The sequence below is a fragment of the Homo sapiens genome, chromosome 14 (assembly GCF_000001405.40).
Source record: "Homo sapiens chromosome 14, GRCh38.p14 Primary Assembly".
NCBI lineage: Eukaryota > Metazoa > Chordata > Mammalia > Primates > Hominidae > Homo > Homo sapiens.
Genome location: NC_000014.9, coordinates 35268967 through 35285126, shown reverse-complemented (window position 1 = coordinate 35285126; position 16160 = coordinate 35268967). Strand labels below are relative to the sequence as shown.

The 16160-nt window shown below is 42.0% G+C and overlaps 2 protein-coding genes and 1 long non-coding RNA gene across 11 annotated transcripts in view; all 3 read right to left on the bottom strand.

Moving 5' to 3' along the window:
- Nucleotides 1–6569, bottom strand: part of PSMA6 (proteasome 20S subunit alpha 6) — a 38936-nt gene extending 32367 nt beyond the window's left edge. Inside the window, exon 1 of the mRNA NM_001282234.1 lies at nucleotides 6409–6569. Within this exon, the coding sequence (NP_001269163.1) occupies nucleotides 6409–6427 (19 nt within the window). The 5' untranslated portion in view covers nucleotides 6428–6569. The remainder of the gene's footprint in view (nucleotides 1–6408) is intronic.
- Nucleotides 1–16160, bottom strand: part of PRORP-PSMA6 (PRORP-PSMA6 readthrough) — a 195633-nt gene that overhangs the window by 32345 nt on the left and 147128 nt on the right. For all 4 annotated transcript variants that reach the window (NR_182666.1, NR_182669.1, NR_182668.1 and 1 more), the window contains 3 exons: nucleotides 14531–14726; nucleotides 10836–11692; nucleotides 6409–6574 (listed from right to left, as the gene is read on the bottom strand). This is a non-coding gene — a long non-coding RNA (PRORP-PSMA6 readthrough). The remainder of the gene's footprint in view (nucleotides 1–6408; nucleotides 6575–10835; nucleotides 11693–14530; nucleotides 14727–16160) is intronic.
- Nucleotides 7505–16160, bottom strand: part of PRORP (protein only RNase P catalytic subunit) — a 155784-nt gene continuing 147128 nt past the window's right edge. For 5 of the 6 annotated variants that reach the window (NM_001256680.2, NM_001256681.2, NM_014672.4 and 2 more), the window contains 2 exons: nucleotides 14531–14726; nucleotides 7505–11692 (listed from right to left, as the gene is read on the bottom strand). In NM_001256680.2, coding sequence (NP_001243609.1) covers nucleotides 11561–11692; nucleotides 14531–14726 — 328 coding nt within the window. In that variant the 3' untranslated portion in view covers nucleotides 7505–11560. The remainder of the gene's footprint in view (nucleotides 11693–14530; nucleotides 14727–16160) is intronic. The other variant, NM_001414503.1, reaches the window with a different exon arrangement.

The following is a 16160-nucleotide window of genomic DNA, read 5'->3' as shown; positions in this document are numbered from 1 at the left end:
TGATCCTCCTGCCTCGGCCTCCCAAAGTGCTGGGATTACAGTCATCGCACCTGACTCCAGTTTTATTTTCTACTTGCTTTTGAATGACTTGATGAACCTCAGCTGAGATCCTCAAACTTCACTCTAAATGTATTTCATCCATAATGGTGAAACAAAGGCAAGTTCCAAAAATCAACCACAGACAGCAGATTTAGGCACTGAAACATTCCAAAGATTAAAAACTCTGGGATGATGTCTTACAAGTACATAGCAAGTTTTATCCCAGTTACCACAGTACCAAGTACAGAGTAGATGTCTAATGAATAAACCTTTAATTCACTGAAGATATCATATGATTATAGAGGATGGCACTGAGAAGTTACTGTTTTTTTGAGGATCAGTGAGGCATCAGACACCACAGATTAAGTTCCCACTTAGCCAGCTCACACACAAAAGACCAAGGAGCAAGAGGGGTATTCACTTAAAGGAGAAGTAGGCATTAGAGGTAAAAATCAGGAAGATATTTTCAAACAAATTCTCCAAAGTAATTCAACATTTACTGAGCTCCCTCTTTGGGCAAGAAGCTGGGCTAGCTGCTCTGGGAGACACACAGATGAACCCGACAGCGTCCCCACCAGAGTTCCATGGAGATGAAACATGAATGAAAGCAAAGCTAACATGAGGTAGTCCGTAATACACAAGGAAATGTGTAACAGAGCAGCACAGATGAGAAAATGACCTTATATGCTCACGGGCCAAAGGGAATGTAAGACTACCTGTTGGAAGATGCATGTCCAAGCTCAGCTTAGAACAGGGAGAACTCTTAACAGGTGTGTTAAGAGCAATGTTAGGAGCAATATGGGAGGCACCACAATGCAACATGGAATGGGAGTGGCATAAACAAGCAGAGGAAGAAAAAAGATCCTGTGTTTAGGGCAAGCTAGGCAATAGCCTAACCTAAGTATGACTCAAAAAATGTTTTGGATTAGGGTACAAATGAAAGGAGCTGGCCTTGGATACTAAGCTAAGGAATTTATGCTCTATCTAGTTGGAAGGCTACGGGGAGACATTTAATGTTTTTGAGCAAGGAGAGTGGCAAGACTAGAATTATGCTTTGGGAAGATAAACCTTGTAGCTGTATTTATGAGGAACTGTCATTGGGGACATCAGCCAGGAGGCTATTGATAATAGACCAAGTGAAAGTTTTTGAAGGCCTGAACTGGGGTAAGCAGCAATAGGAATGGAAAGAAGAGATTATCTGCAAAAAATTTGTAAAGGCTGGACATGGTGGCTCATGCCTATCTATAATCCTAGCACTTTGGGAGGCCGAGTTGGGAGGATTGCTTGAGCCCAGGAGTTTGAGACCAGCTTGGGCAACATGGCAAAACCCTTTATCTACAAAAAATAAATTAACCAGGTGTGGTGGTGTCCACCTTATAGGGTGTGTGCCAGCGGTCCCAGTTACTTGGGAGGCTGAGGCAGGATAATTGCTTGAGCCCAGGAGGTCGAGGCTGCAGTGAGCTATGATTGCATCACGGCACTCCAGCCTGGGCAACAGAGTGAGACCCCATCTCCTAAAAAAAAAAAAAAAAAAAGAGTTCTAGTCTAACATCCTATTACACCTATTGCAAAAATTTTAGACTGTGAAGAAGATGAAGTAAAAATCATCCACAACCCAACATCCAGAGATACCTATTGACATTGTGGAATCAATGAAATGTTATTCCTTCCAGACATTTTCCTCCAAGTATTTTTTCTCTTTCTCTCTCTTTTTTTTTTTTTTTGTAGAGATAGGGTCTCCCTGTGTTGCCCAGGCTGGTCTCGTACTCCTGGGCTCAAAAGATTCTCCCACCTCAGCCTCCCGAAGTGTTAGGATTACAGGTGTGAGCCACCACACCTGACCAGCCAAGTATTTTCTTTCCTTCATTTAAAAAATGGGATCTTACTAGACATACTATTTTGGAGCTGCTTTTTCATTGATTCTATGCCAATGTACAAAGTATCGGTGGGGCACGGTGGCTCACGCCTGTAATCCCAGCACTTTGGGAGGCCAAGGTGAGTGAACACCTGAGGTCAGGAGTTTGACACCAGCCTGGCCAACATGGTGAAACCCTGACTCCACTAAAAAATACAAAAAATTAGCTGGGTGTGGTGGTGCACGCCTGTAGTCCCAGCTACTCAGGAGGCTGAGGCAGGAGAACCGCTTGAGCCCAGGAGGCAGAGGTTGCAGTGAGCTGAGATCTTTCCTTTGCACTCCAGCCTGACCCTGTGGGGTCTCACTCTGTTGCCCAGGCTGTGTGGGTCTCACTCTGTTGCCCAGGCTGGAGTGCAGTGGCTCGATCTTGGCTCACTGCAACCTGTGCCTCCCAGGCTCAAGCAATCCTCCTACCTCAACCTCCTGAGTAGCTGAGACGACAGGCACATGCCACCGTGCCCAGCTAATTTTTGTCTTTTTTGTAGAGATGGGGGGAATCTCACCATGCTTCCCAGGCTGGTCTTGAGCTCCTAGATGCAAGAAATCCTCCTGCCTTGACCTCCCAAAGTGCAAAGTATCATTTTAATCATTGCAACGTTAAAAGTTACGTTTAGGTTAGGTGCAATGGCTCATCCTGTAATCCCAGCGCTTTGGAAGGCCGAGATAAGTGGATTGCTTGAGGCCAGGAGTTCAGGACCAGCCTGGGAAACATAGTGAGACCCTGTCTGTAAAAAAAAAAATTTTTTTTTAATTTACAAATAAGTTAGAAAATTATCTGGGGGTGGTAGAGTGCGCCAGTAGTACCAGCTACTCAGGAGGCTGAGGCAGGAGGATTGCTTGAGTCCAGGAGGTCAAGGCTGCAGTGAGTCATGATCACACTGCTGCACATCAGCCTGGGTGACAGCAGGACCCTGTCTCAAAAAATAAAAAATTAAATTACAGTTATTTACTTCTTCCCTTATTTTGAATAGTTACTTCCAATTTCATTATTGTCAATTACACTATTATGAATAAGCTGTTTTCAAAGTGGTTCAGTTTGAGTGTCTCAGGTGAAGTTGGTCAGCTGCAAATGTGGAATTGGAAAGAAACCAATGGCAGAGATGGTGCCTTCTTTTGAGAATGTTGCTATGAAACTATCCCTGGGAAAGCACAGTTTTGTCCAGTCAGAGCCTAAAGGTATTTGTAAGTAAATGGGAAAGAGCTGGAGGAAAGGGATTAACTGAGAACAAGATCCCAATTCAGAAAGAAGGAACAGCGTGGATGTAGGTAGAAAAAGTAACCTAGGGCCAGGAGTAGTGGCTGATGCCTGTAATCCTAGCACCTTGAGAGGCCAAGGCAAGAGGACTGATAGAGGCAAAGAGTTCAAGACCAACCTGATCCTGTCTCTATTTTATAATTTAAAAAAAAATTTCTTTTTAAGTAACCTAGGGAAGAAAAGGGAGAAAAGATTCAGGAGAGGAAAATTATTGGAAAAGGCAAACATTGATGAAGAGGTTCATAACAGATGGCTTTTAGTTTCCAGTTAAGTCTGCTGAGTGTGAGAATGATGAGACTGACTCAGGACTTGGACTCACAGGTGTTGTTTTGTTACTATTTTTTATATAATTGTGGAGCTCACTGAGGCCCTTACTTCTCAAATTACAGTCTGCAGCATTGGCATCACGGGGTATGTCAGACCTGAATCAGAACTGGCATTTTGAGTGGGATCCCCAGGTGATTCTATGCCTATTAAGTTTGAGAAGCACTGTGATGGCCCATCTTCCCCACTTAACAGAAAAGGAAATGAAGGCTCCAGGAGATTAGCTGCTTGCAACTTACCTTTGCAGAGTTAAGACTGCAAAGGTTGGGAGAGCTCTTTCAGGAAATTAATGGGAATTTCATGACTTTTCTAGCAATACTATGGTATACAGGAGTGGAGAAAGTGGAATGGTTTGTGGCTACTCAAAATAAGGTTTAGAACTGAAAAGATGGAGACCAAAGGAGGTAAAAAGTATGAAAGAATTTGCACTGCTATTGAAGCCATCCCTCCCATGAATGCTTTGAGAGGCAGGGTAGGGAGAAAGGCAAGCAAAGTCAGATGGGAAAGGTCAATAGAGGCTTCCTGGGTGAGGAAGGGATAGGTCTAAGAACAGGTCAATGGTGGTTTAACCCAGTGGTGGTTGGGTTAAAGGAGTGGGGCAGGTAAGGAGGTTGTGGACAAAATGAGGAACTTGAAAGTTTAAAATCCTGAAACTAATCAAAAAGGTTGGCCATCTCATAGGGAGCCAAAAGTCACAAAATCAGGTATGTGTGGTGGTGCATGCCTGTAATCCCGGCTACTTGGGAGGCTGAGGCAGGAGGATCGCTTGAGCCCAGGAGTTTGAGGCTGCAGTGAGCTATGACCACTGTGAATAGCTACTGCACTCCAGCCTGGGCAACACAGTGAGACCCCATTTCGAAAACAAACAACAACAACAAATCATGAGACCAGAGTTAAGAAACAATGAGACCAGGCTGGGTGTGGTGGCTCATGCCTGTAATCCCAGCACTTTGGGAGGCCAAGGTGGGCTGATCACTTGAGGTCAGGAGTTTAAGACCAGCTTGGCCAACATGACGAAACCCTGTCTCTACTAAACATACAAAAATTAGGTGGGCATGGTGGCACGTGCCTGTAATCCCAGCTACTTGGGAGGCTGAGGCATGAGAATCACTTGAATCCGGGAGGTGGAGGTTGCAGTGAGCCAAATTGACGCCACTGAGCTCCAGCCTGGGTGATAGAGTGAGACTCCATCTCAAGAAAAAGAAAAAAAAAAAAAAAAGAAACAATGAGACCAAAATGTGGATGGAGTTGGAATCTCTGGTGATACTGGCAATGGGAGTGGAAGAAAAATACATTTTTGTTGTTGTTGTATTTTTAGTAGAGACAGGGTTTTGCCATGTTGGCCAGCCTGGTCTCGAACTCCTGACCTCAGGTGATCCACCTGCCTCGGCCTCCCAAAGTGCTGGGATTACAGGCGTGAGCCATTGCGCCAGGCCGAAAAATACATTCTTTTTTTTTTTTTTGAGACGGAGTCTTGCTCTGTCGCCCAGGCTGGAGCTGGAGTGTAGTGGCGCGATCTCGGCTCACTGCAAGCTCCGCCTCCCTGGTTCACGCCATTCTCCTGCCTCAGCCTCCCGAGTAGCTGGGATTACAGGCACCTGCCACCACGCCTGGCTAATTTTTTTGTGTTTTTAGTAGAGACGGGGTTTCACCGTGTTAGCCAGGATGGTCTCGATCTCCTGACCTCGTGATCCGCCCGCCTCGGCCTCCCAAAGTGCTGGGATTACAGGCGTGAGCCACCACGCCCGGCCCGAAAAGTACATTCTTATAACATGTATAAAGTACAAACTATTCAATACTGATTTCCTCACAGAAACTTCCCTTGGTGTGTTGATGAACAAAGAGTTACATGATTTGCTTTAAGCAGTAAAAAGCTCTTTATCTGTGTAAAGCAGCAATTGTTCCTTAGACGTTCTCTTCAAAAACATGGCCTGACCAGAGTTTATTTCTTTAGGAGTTGGAGATCAGAGGGCCTGACTTAGAAAAGACCCATTACATCAAGGATTTGACCACTCCTGCCAGAATAGCGCTAAGTGCCAAAGGACGTGACCCTTAATTTGAGCCAACAGCTATTATCAGGGTTCAGCTTCTGTGAACACAGATTTCCTTCTGAACAAAGCAAGCCTTGAGTAGCAGTTTGTGAGTATACAGCTATGCAAATACTATTTTATGGTGTCCAGCAATGCTGTAGTTTAAGCTGGCTGCCCCTTTTTATGAATTTACATTATTAATTATTAGAATACATGAGGCCGAGTGCAGTGGCTCATGCCTGTAATCCCAGCACTTTGGGAGGTCGAGGTGGGCGGATCACCTGAGGTCTGGAGTTCGAGACTAGCCTGACCAACATGGAGAAACCCTGTCTCTACTAAAAATACAAAATTAGCCGGGCATAGTGGCACATGCCTGTAATCCCAGCTACTCAGGAGGCTGAAGCAGGAGAATTGCTTGAACCAGGGAGGCGGAGGTTGCAGTGAGCCGAGATCGCGCCACTGCACTCCAGCCTGGGCGAGAAGAGCGAAACTCCATCTCAAACACACACACAAAAAAGAATACATGAGGAAGAAGTGACTGTAAGAACAGGGAAAATTTTTCATTTTCTGTCAGGTGAAAAAAACATGTTACGAAAGAGTTCCTAGAGAATAAGTATATATGTATAGAAAAACAAAAAATGAGTATATATGCATAGAAAAATATATACGTACAACAACTTAATAGCAATAGACTGCTCAGCCATGGAACACAGGATAGAAAAAAAAGCAACTTGGGATTCTAGAGCAAGGTCATTGTAAAGAGGAATAAAATATAAGAATGATTTATTTTCAAAGAATCAGTAATATAGTACATCTCAAGCAACAAGTCTGAGTGAGGGACTTACCTCTCCGAAGACCTGCCATAGCCACCTCCAAAGGAAGCTACTTCATGAGGTGGAGGCTCCATCCCATTCTCCCAGCCTAGGACACTACCCTGCTCCAGCAGAGCCGCATGGATGGAATCGTCAGGGAATTCCACTGGCATCCTATTGGATACTGACATTCTCTGTTCTGATGCAGTCATAGAAAGCACAAGAAACCTTATTTATTTATTTATTTTTGAGATGGAATCTCGCTCTGTCATCAGGCTGGAGTACAGTGGTGCAATCTCAGCTCACTGCAACCTCCGCCTCCCGGGTTCAAGCAATTCTCCTGCCTCAGCCTCCCGAGTAGCTGGGACTACAGGCGCACACCACCATGCCCAGCTAATTTTTGTATTTTTAGTAGAGACGGGGTTTCACCATGTTGGCCAGGATGGTCTCAATCAATCTCTTGACCTCAGGTGATCCTCCCGCCTCGGCCTCCCAAAGTGCTGGGATTACAGACATGAGTCACTGCACCCGGCCAGGAAACCTCTTTTAATAGTAGACTTTAAATATTTAGATGTGAACTGAACTTGGTATCTATATAATGTTCTAGTCCATCTGAGAGTGATGAGGCAATCTGACCTGGTCTCATTAAAATGAATTAATGTCTATCATATTCAAAATTAAAGCCCCTACTATTGATTTCTCAAGTATTTGCTTCTTGGGCTGGCTTTTAAATAGCACTGAAGAGATGAGTGGGACAGTCATTTTAATGTGCTCGAAATTAACTCTCTACATCAAATTTCTTGTCAGAAGTTACCAAAACCTTCCTATGTTACTGCTATTTATAACAACAAATTACCACAGTTATCATAATAACTCGATCCATTAGATAAGAGTATACTTCTGAGGGCACTCTGGTAGCAAAATAATTTTTAGCTGCCATCAGTGACTAGATAATTGTCTTCCTGTTTATTTCCATTACCAGTTAAAAGCAAGTTGTGTATGTAGTAGAACCTCTGGAAGCACTCGTCAGATCAAATAATGCCAAAAAAACCCACAAAAACAAAAAACTAAACTTGGGGAGAGGGAACGTCAGGACATCATGAAAAAGCATAAATGGAGATGATAAAAGTAAAGATTATTTCTCAAATTTTATTACATTTATTCATCTGTGTTCCTGTCTCTTGTATTTTCATCCTGTTAATTTCTATGGCTTCCCCTCTGTAGAGCTCTAAATGGAACTTCCTTTGTTTATTTAGCACAGACTCAAGCAGACTGCTTGTCACTGGCCAGGACTGGGCAGGTAAAAGCTGGTCCTATTTCCTTTCTGCTCACTCCTAAGTGCCTTTTACAAATTTCCTTTCTTATTCTTGCTCCCCTCCTGCCTCCTGTAGGGCTGCTGGACTATAGATAGAGATGCCTCATTTCAGGCTGTGCGGGGTGACTCACACCTGTAATCCCAGCACTTTGGGAGGCTGAGGTGGGTGGATCACCTGAGGTCAGGAGTTTGAGAGCAACCGGGGCAACATGGTGAAAACCCGTCTCTACTAAAAATGCAAAAATTAGCCAGGCGTCATGGCGCATGCCTGTAATTCCAGCTGCCCGAGAGGCAGAGGCATGAGAATTGCTTGAACCCAGGAGGCAGAGGTTGCAGTGAACTGAGATCAAACCATTGCACTCCAGCCTAGATGAAAAAAGATCAAGACTCTGTCTCAAAAAAAAAAATAAATAAAAGTGAGAAATCTGCTAGAGGACCAAGGAAGCAGTAATTATATTTAAGTGCATACTTGAGAAGAAAAATTAATTTCCTATGAAGAATAAGCCACCTCAGATGAGGTAGACCCAACAGAGCCCTGAGAGAATAAACTCAGCCTTCTTCCTTGAGATTTTCTTTCCACTGGGTCTGAGAACAGCAGGAGGAAAAGTGTATAAATTCAGAATGCAAGGGGGAAGCACAAAGTATTTTAGAAATACTTTTAAGTGGCAAAGTCAATGCTCTTTCAAATCCTTCATTGTTCACAACTGATTTTAAAGATACTAACAATTTAAGAGTACAGCTTTTAAAATAATTCCTCCTTCTTGTGGTGTCCAGGAGCTTGCTTGACAGGTACCTTTTTTTCACTCAAATGATCAGAACACAAATGGGCAGCCTAAGTGTCTGGTACCAGCTGCTTCCTTCAGGGAATCCCTGCACTCCTCAAGGTCACCGTGGCAGTATGACTTATGCTGAGCAACCCTACAATGGTTCCCCACTCCTGGACAAGGGACAGATGCACTTCAGTTTATCTCAAGCAGAAGTTAGGGTTTTGTTTCTAAACAGTATTAGAGTTATTTTAAAATGTAATTTCTCTACCACAATGTTCTATACTGCTGAGCCATTCAGGATACTTGGGCCCTTAAAAGAGGTACACCCCTGTTCCTTCTTCTCATTCTTACCTCCCTCCCTTTGAGACAGGGTCTCACTCTGTCACCTAGGCTGGAGTGTAGTAGCATGATCATAGCTCACTGTAGCCTTGACCTCTGGGGCTCAAGTGATCCTCCCACCTCAGCCTTCTGAGTAGCTGGGACCACAGGCATGTGCTACCATGCCCAGCTAATTTTTAAATTTTTTGTCGACACGGGTCTCCCTGTGTTGCCTAGGCTGGTCTCCAACTCCTGGCTTCAAGCAATTCTCCCATTTGGCCTCCCAAAGTGCTGGAACTGTAGGTGTGGGCCACCATGCCCTGACTCCTCCCCCATCTCTATGTGCCAGTAGAAGAAAGAGTATTTGGGAATTAGAAGAGCTGGGTTATGGCTGAAATGTCTGCACTAACTAGCCGTGGGATTCAGGGAAGCCAGGTCATCTTCCTGGGTCTGTTCCTCATCTCCAAAATGGACTTTACATGCTCTAAGGTTACTCCTGCTCTAAAGTTCTAGTTTTCTTCTTGTAGCTTCTCCCGTCTTTTTTTTTTTTTTTTAAGAGACAGGGTCTTGCTATGTTGCCCAGGTTGGTCTCCAACTCTGGGCCTAAAGTGATCCTCCTGTCTTGGCCTCCCAAAGTGCTGGAATTAACAGGTATGAGCCACCACTTCGGCCTCCTCCTCTATCTCTATGTGCTCCTTTTTTGGGAATTTGCATTAGCCTTTTAGATGGGCTTAATAAATACTTTTTGTCTTCTTAAAATGTTTTTCTTAAAACTATGATAGTTACTTAAAAAAAGAAGTTTAGCTCACTGAAAGCACAGTTTCCTAAGTATGTAGTTTATGAAATTTGGAAAATAAGCAGACTGAATTTATTAGAGCTTTTGCAGTATCTTTTAATGCTCTCAATATATCCAATGTTTTCCTGGAGAGCTCTTTTGTCTTGGTGTGCAGTAATGTTGCATTCAGTAAATAGGTAAGAAGATAAAACGTCCCCTCCTTGGATTTTCCTAAATTGTTTCTCTGTGCATAATACATACCCTAATTATACACATGTATATGGTTTGATATAAAAGAGGTCATTGTTTATTTCATGTAAGTAATTATCTTTTCTTACCCTAACTTACTTTGAGGTATATTGTCATAAATGTAAATATATCAATTTAAAATGTTTAGTGTGAGGAATTTTAACTAATATATACATATAGCTATGTTACTATTACCCAAATCAATATAAGAAACTTTCCATCACCCCGAGAAAGTTCTCTCAAGTTCTCTCATATCCCTTTCCTCAGGCAATTACTATTCTGATTTTTATCACAATAGAGTAGTTTTTGCCTGTTCTTGCATATTGAATACAGTATGTATACGTAAAGAAAGAACTATCATGAAGGGGTGCAGACATGAATATTTTCAGCTGAAATCAAGGGCTAATAAACTGTAAGCTGGCTAGTGAGTGGAAAAAACAGAAATGTAACTATTAAAATATAATCACTTTGTTAAATTAAGTCAAACTTGATTAAGTGGAAAAAAATTGGCATATTTTAGAAAGCCCACATATACTGAATGATGAAATTAATAGTGTTCACAAAATGTTGAACCAATTTGGAAAAGAGATTATAGAATGAAGAAAAAACCATCATAGTCTAGAGAAGTGAGGCTGGGCACTGTGGCTCAAGTCTGCAATTCCAGCACTTTGTTTTGTTTTGAGACAAGGTCTCGCTCTGTCACCCAGGCTAGAGTGCAGTGGTGCAACGTTGGCTCATTGCAGCCTTGACCTCTGAGGCTCAAGCAATCCTCCTACCTCAGCCCCCAAAGTAGCTGGGACTATGTGTGCAAACTACCATGCCTGGCTAATTTTTAAATTTTTTGTAGAAATGAGATCTTACTATGTTGCCTAGGCTGGTCTTGAACTCCTAGACTCAAGTGATTCTCTCGCTTCAATCTCCCAAATTGCTGGGGATCGACTGAGGCCAGGGGTTGGAGACTAGTCTTGTCAACAGAGTGAGACAGCCATCTCTACAAAAAAAAAAAAAAAAATTAGCCAAGCCTGGTGATACATGCCTGTAGTCCCAATTACTCAGGAGGGCTGAGGTAGGAAGATTGCTTGAGCCTGGGAGTTTGAGGCTGCAGTGAACTGTGATCACGTCACTGCACTCCAGCCCTGGCGACAGAGTAAGTTGAGACTCTATTTCCAAAAAAAATAAGAAAAAGAGGAGTGAATGCCCCCTCTTCTCCAATCCAAATAATTGGATGATAAGTAATTAAAAACTGCTATGAATAGTAAGCCTTTAGTATCTTGGCCAGTTTATTACAGAGGACGATAAATGATTCCATGTGGATAGGGCATAACATACAGAGAATGAGACTATGCCAGAAATGGGAGGAGGCATTTGAAACAACATGAGTATCTCAGGGACAGATGGATTGATTCTGCTATTGGTAGGCCTGGAAGGCAAGGTCAGAAGTAGCAAAAAATGGATACCAAAAGCACTATTAGTCACCCAAGCTAAGTGGAATAGCTGGCCCAGTAGGAGAAATGCAGGTTTTGCTCTACACTAAGTTCTCCAACTCTTGATAAGCCTCCAAAAACAAATGTTAGGGGAAAAAAACGCAGCTGGTTATGAAAAGATATATCTCATTTCATTAAAAAATCAATGTCAATGCTGTTAATAGAATCCTTTTATCTTCAGGACAGAGGCAATGCCCTAAACAAACACCAGCTCAAGAGCCTCTGATGCCAACCTAGAGGGTACCCAAACACAAACTTAGCATAGAGGTAAGAATCTCTATGTCTTTTGGTGGAGGCAAAGCCATTTGGTTGGTACTTCACAGGAACATCTTTCTACCAAGTCTTCATCATATGGTATGTGCCACGAGTCTCCAGTTGTTTGCACCACTGTGTCATAGCTGAGAATACGCTGTTGAATTAAAAAGAGAACAAAACATTGAGAACAACACTAAAGGGCTACTTGGCCATTTCTCTTTCTGACACTTCTCAAGTTTGCTCCAGAAGAGTATTGATAATGGATTATCTCACTTAATAATGGATTTTCAAACAGCAGCAAACTCTGTGAAGATGAGCCCTAATATTAGGAGTTCCTTTTTTTGAGGGGTCTCATTTTTAAGTCTAAAGACTCTCTGTAGAAGCATTACATTTATGTAATACAGACGTTCTTTTGTTGGCTCTATCAGTTTTGTGTGTGAGAGTGAAAAATTTCAAATCCAGTCAGCCTTCCACAACTGCAGGTTCTGTATCCCTGGCAAACAACCACAGATTGAAAATATATGAAAACAAAACGAAACAAAACAAAACAACAACAACAACAAAAAACTGTGTTCTGAACATGTACAGACTTTTTTTCTTCTTGGCATTATTCCCTAAAAGATACAGAAACAACTATTTATATAGCATTTACATTGTATTAGGTATTATAAATAATCTAGATGATTCAAAGTACACAGGAGGATGTGTGTAGGTTATATGCAAATACTATGCCATTTTATATAAGGGACTTGAGCATTTGAGGATTTTAGTATCTGTGAGAGGTCCTGAAACCAATTCCTCATGGATACCAAGGGACAAATGTAAACAAAAGTAGAGAAATGCTATAATGAACTCTCATGTACTCATCACCTAGCTTCAGCCATTATCAATTCATCTCTAGTCTTATTTCATCCATACGCTGCCCTCCCATCTCAGATATGTAATTTCTTCTGTAATACTTCAGTATGTATCTCTAAGAAATAAGGTCTTATTTTATAAATGTAAGATCAATACCTTTATACCTTTATTATACTTAAGAATTAATAGTTCTTCAACTATATCTTGAATCACTATGGTATCATTTAATACCACATTTACTATAAATTTATTGTTTTGGATATTCTTATTTACTTACTTTTATAGAGACATGGTCTTACCATGTTGCCCAGGCTAGTCTTAAACTCCTAGGCTCAGGCAATCCTCCTGCTTCGGCCTCCCAAAGTGCTGGGATTACACAAGTGAGCCACTGCACCCAGCCTTTCTTACTTATTTTTAAATTGACGAATAACAATTATACATATTTATCATGTATAGCATGTTTTTGAAATATGCATACATTGTAGAATAGCTAAATTGAGCTCATTAACATGAGCATTACCTTATATACTTACAATTTTTGTGGTGAGAACATTTAAAATCTACTCTTAGCAATTTTCAATGATACAACACATTGTTATTATTAACTACAGTCATCATGGAACGTATTCCTCTTATCTAACTGAAATTTTTTCTCCTTTGACCAACATCTCCGTTTTTTTTTTGTTGTTTTTTTTTGTTTTTTTTGAGACGGAGTCTCGCTCTGTCACCCAGGCTGGATAGCAGTGGCACAATCTTGGCTCACTGAAACCTTTGCCTCCCAGGTTCAAGCGATTCTTGTACCTTAGCCTCCCACGTAGCTGGGATTATAGGCACACGCCACCACGCCTGGCTAATTTTTGTATTTTTAGTAGAGATGAGGTTTTCGCTATGTTGGCTAGGCTGGTCTTCAACTCCTGCCCTCAAGTGATCCACCTGCCTTGGCCTCCCAAAGTGTTGAGATTACAGGTGTGAGCCATCACGCCCAGCCAATATTTTTTGATAATTGAACCTTATTTATTATACCACGGGCCAGTGTACTTTTCTGTAATAACTCACTTTGGATTCTCTCCCTTTGCTTTCACACAAGATGTGTCCTTATATTATAGATATCTTAACTAGAATCAAAGGAGAATTCAATTGAGACTGTCATAGAAATGAATTAAACAGGGAAAACAAATTACTTAGCAGAAGTATAACAAACTATAAGAAATAAAGAATTTGAGCTATTGCAAATAAACAAAAATAAAAAACACATGTAAGAAGTTATAATTTATGGCCGGGTATGGTGGCTCACGCCTGTAATCCCAGCACTTTGGGAGGCTGAGGTGGGTGGATTATGAGCTCAGGAGTTCAAGACCAGCCTGACCAACATGGTGAAACCCCACCTCTACTAAAAATACAAAAATTAGCTCGGCGTGGTGGCATGTGCCCATAGTCCCAGCTACTTGGGAGGCTGAGGCAGGAGGATCGCTTGAACCTGGGAGGCGGAGGCTGTAGTGAGCTGAGATTGCACCACTGCACTCCAGCCTGGGCGACAGAGTGAGATTCCGTCTCAAAAAAAAAAAAAAAAAAAAGAAGTCATAATTTGTGACATAATTAATTGAAGTCAAAACTGGTATATCCTAAATGTTGTTTTTTGTTTTTGAGACGGAGTCTTGCTCTGTCGCCCAGGCTGGAGTGCAGTGGCGTGATCTCGGCTCACTGCAAGCTCTGTCTCCAGGGTTCATGACATTCTCCTGCCTCAGCCTCCCAAGTAGCTGGGATTACAGGCACCCGCCACCACGCCTGGCTAATTTTTTTTTTGTACTTTTAGTAGAGACGGGGTTTCACCGTGTTAGCCAGGATGGTCTCGATCTCCTGACCTCATGATTTGCCCACCTCGGCCTCCCAAAGTGCTGGGATTACAGGTGTGAGCCACTGCGCCTGGCCCCTAAGTGTTTTAATTAATTTGAGGTTGGCCTATGAAAACTCTAGCAGACTCTTTCTAGGACCTGGCTAGTTCCAAATACTAACCTAAAACTGAGAAAAATAAAGCATTTGCAACCTTCAATTAGTTGTGACACTCTTTTTCTATGCCACATTCTTACTGTATACTTGACTCTGTTAATATTACATAAAGAACAGGTACCATTACCTGAAAGGTTAGTTTTGATCCTGGAAACCTATTTACAATTGCCAGCTGATGTCCCTGCTGCCACTTAAAAAACAGGCGTTGGGTCTTGGCATCAGGCAGACAGGCCTTGTGGTCCCGCATCAGGTCTCTTGTGATAAACCTGCAGTGATTCCCGGAGTGCAGTGTGGCATACAGAAGGAATGGATCATCCTCCGAGCTGAACCAGGCATAAGAAAGGACACAATCAAGCACAGCTGAAGAGGCAGAGGACAGTGTTTTTCACCGTACTTTTTACTTACTTTCCTTGGAGGTGCCTCTGATTTCTTGACCAACATGATGCTAGTAATACTTAAGAACCACCTCAAAGTCCTTAGCTGGTAAGCAATACTATCTAGAACACAGATGGAAAGCTGAGGGGAACAGAATGCTAATGCCTGGGATTCTCACAGCTCACTGGACTCTTCCACTAGAACGATGAATTCTAACAATGCTCTCTTCACACTTAAAAGTTGCTTCTCTTTGGGCATTTTTCCTATTTGCCTTATCTATCACAGAGCACACCTTTTCCCTCTCTCTTCACCCAAATTCAAGAAACACCCAAAATACTACTAGGGCAGGATGAGACTTTCTTGCAAGCCACCAAATAACTGGCTGCCCCTAAAGCTGAACTGGTATTTCAGAGCAGCTTCTAGACAGTCACCTGGATCAGCACCCCAAAACATCTTCTTTGGTAAGAGCCAGTGACTCAAAGCCTCCAACAGACCATCAACCTTAGCACTTATTATTTTAATAAATGTGCTGTAAAAATGGCAGTAACGACCTTGCTTTAGGAGATTCAGACAGCAACTTGTGATATGCCCTATGCCTTGATTCAAATGACCCTAAATAGGACCATTTAAAGTTTTCTTTATCCTGAAGTATTTCAAGTGAAATGATAAAATGACAAAATTTGCCTTATAACTCTCCAGAAAAAAAAGAAAAAGAAAAAATGTATTCGGTTTATGGAACAAAATTAGCAAAATGATGGTAATTGTTGGAGCCGGGTGACAGTTACATGAGGACTCACTATTCACTATATTATTCTCTCTAGTGTATGTTTGAAAAGCTTCTTTGGCACATTAGTGGAAAACAGATTTAATGTTAAACACTTAAATATTCAAATCCAAAGCGACAAAGAAGGTCAGTGAATTGATCGTTACAACTGAGTTTGGAATTTCAGCTGATGCAATAAATACAGACCCCAAACCAAGCAGTGAGACCACTTTCCAACAGGCTTCTTGGTCATAACACTTCAAATTTATCTAATTTTTCCATATAAGGAAAATAATAATGATCATGACAGCAACTAACATATATGTTTTCCATGTACTTGGTGCTATGCCAAGAGTTTTACATGAGTTATTTACACATATTATCTTATTTAATCCTTAAAACAACCCCATAAAAGTTACACAAGAGATAAGGAAGACAGAGAGAAAGGAAAAACCTTTCCCAGACAGGGAGTGGCAGGGCCATGATCTCAACCTGGGTAAACTAATTCCCAAGCCTACAATCTTACTGTCTACCCAATGTTGCCATTAGGTCTTCTGCTCTTGGAGAAATGGAAGCACCATCTTCCAGCTAAAAAAAGAAGGGATGTGGTTTGGGAACT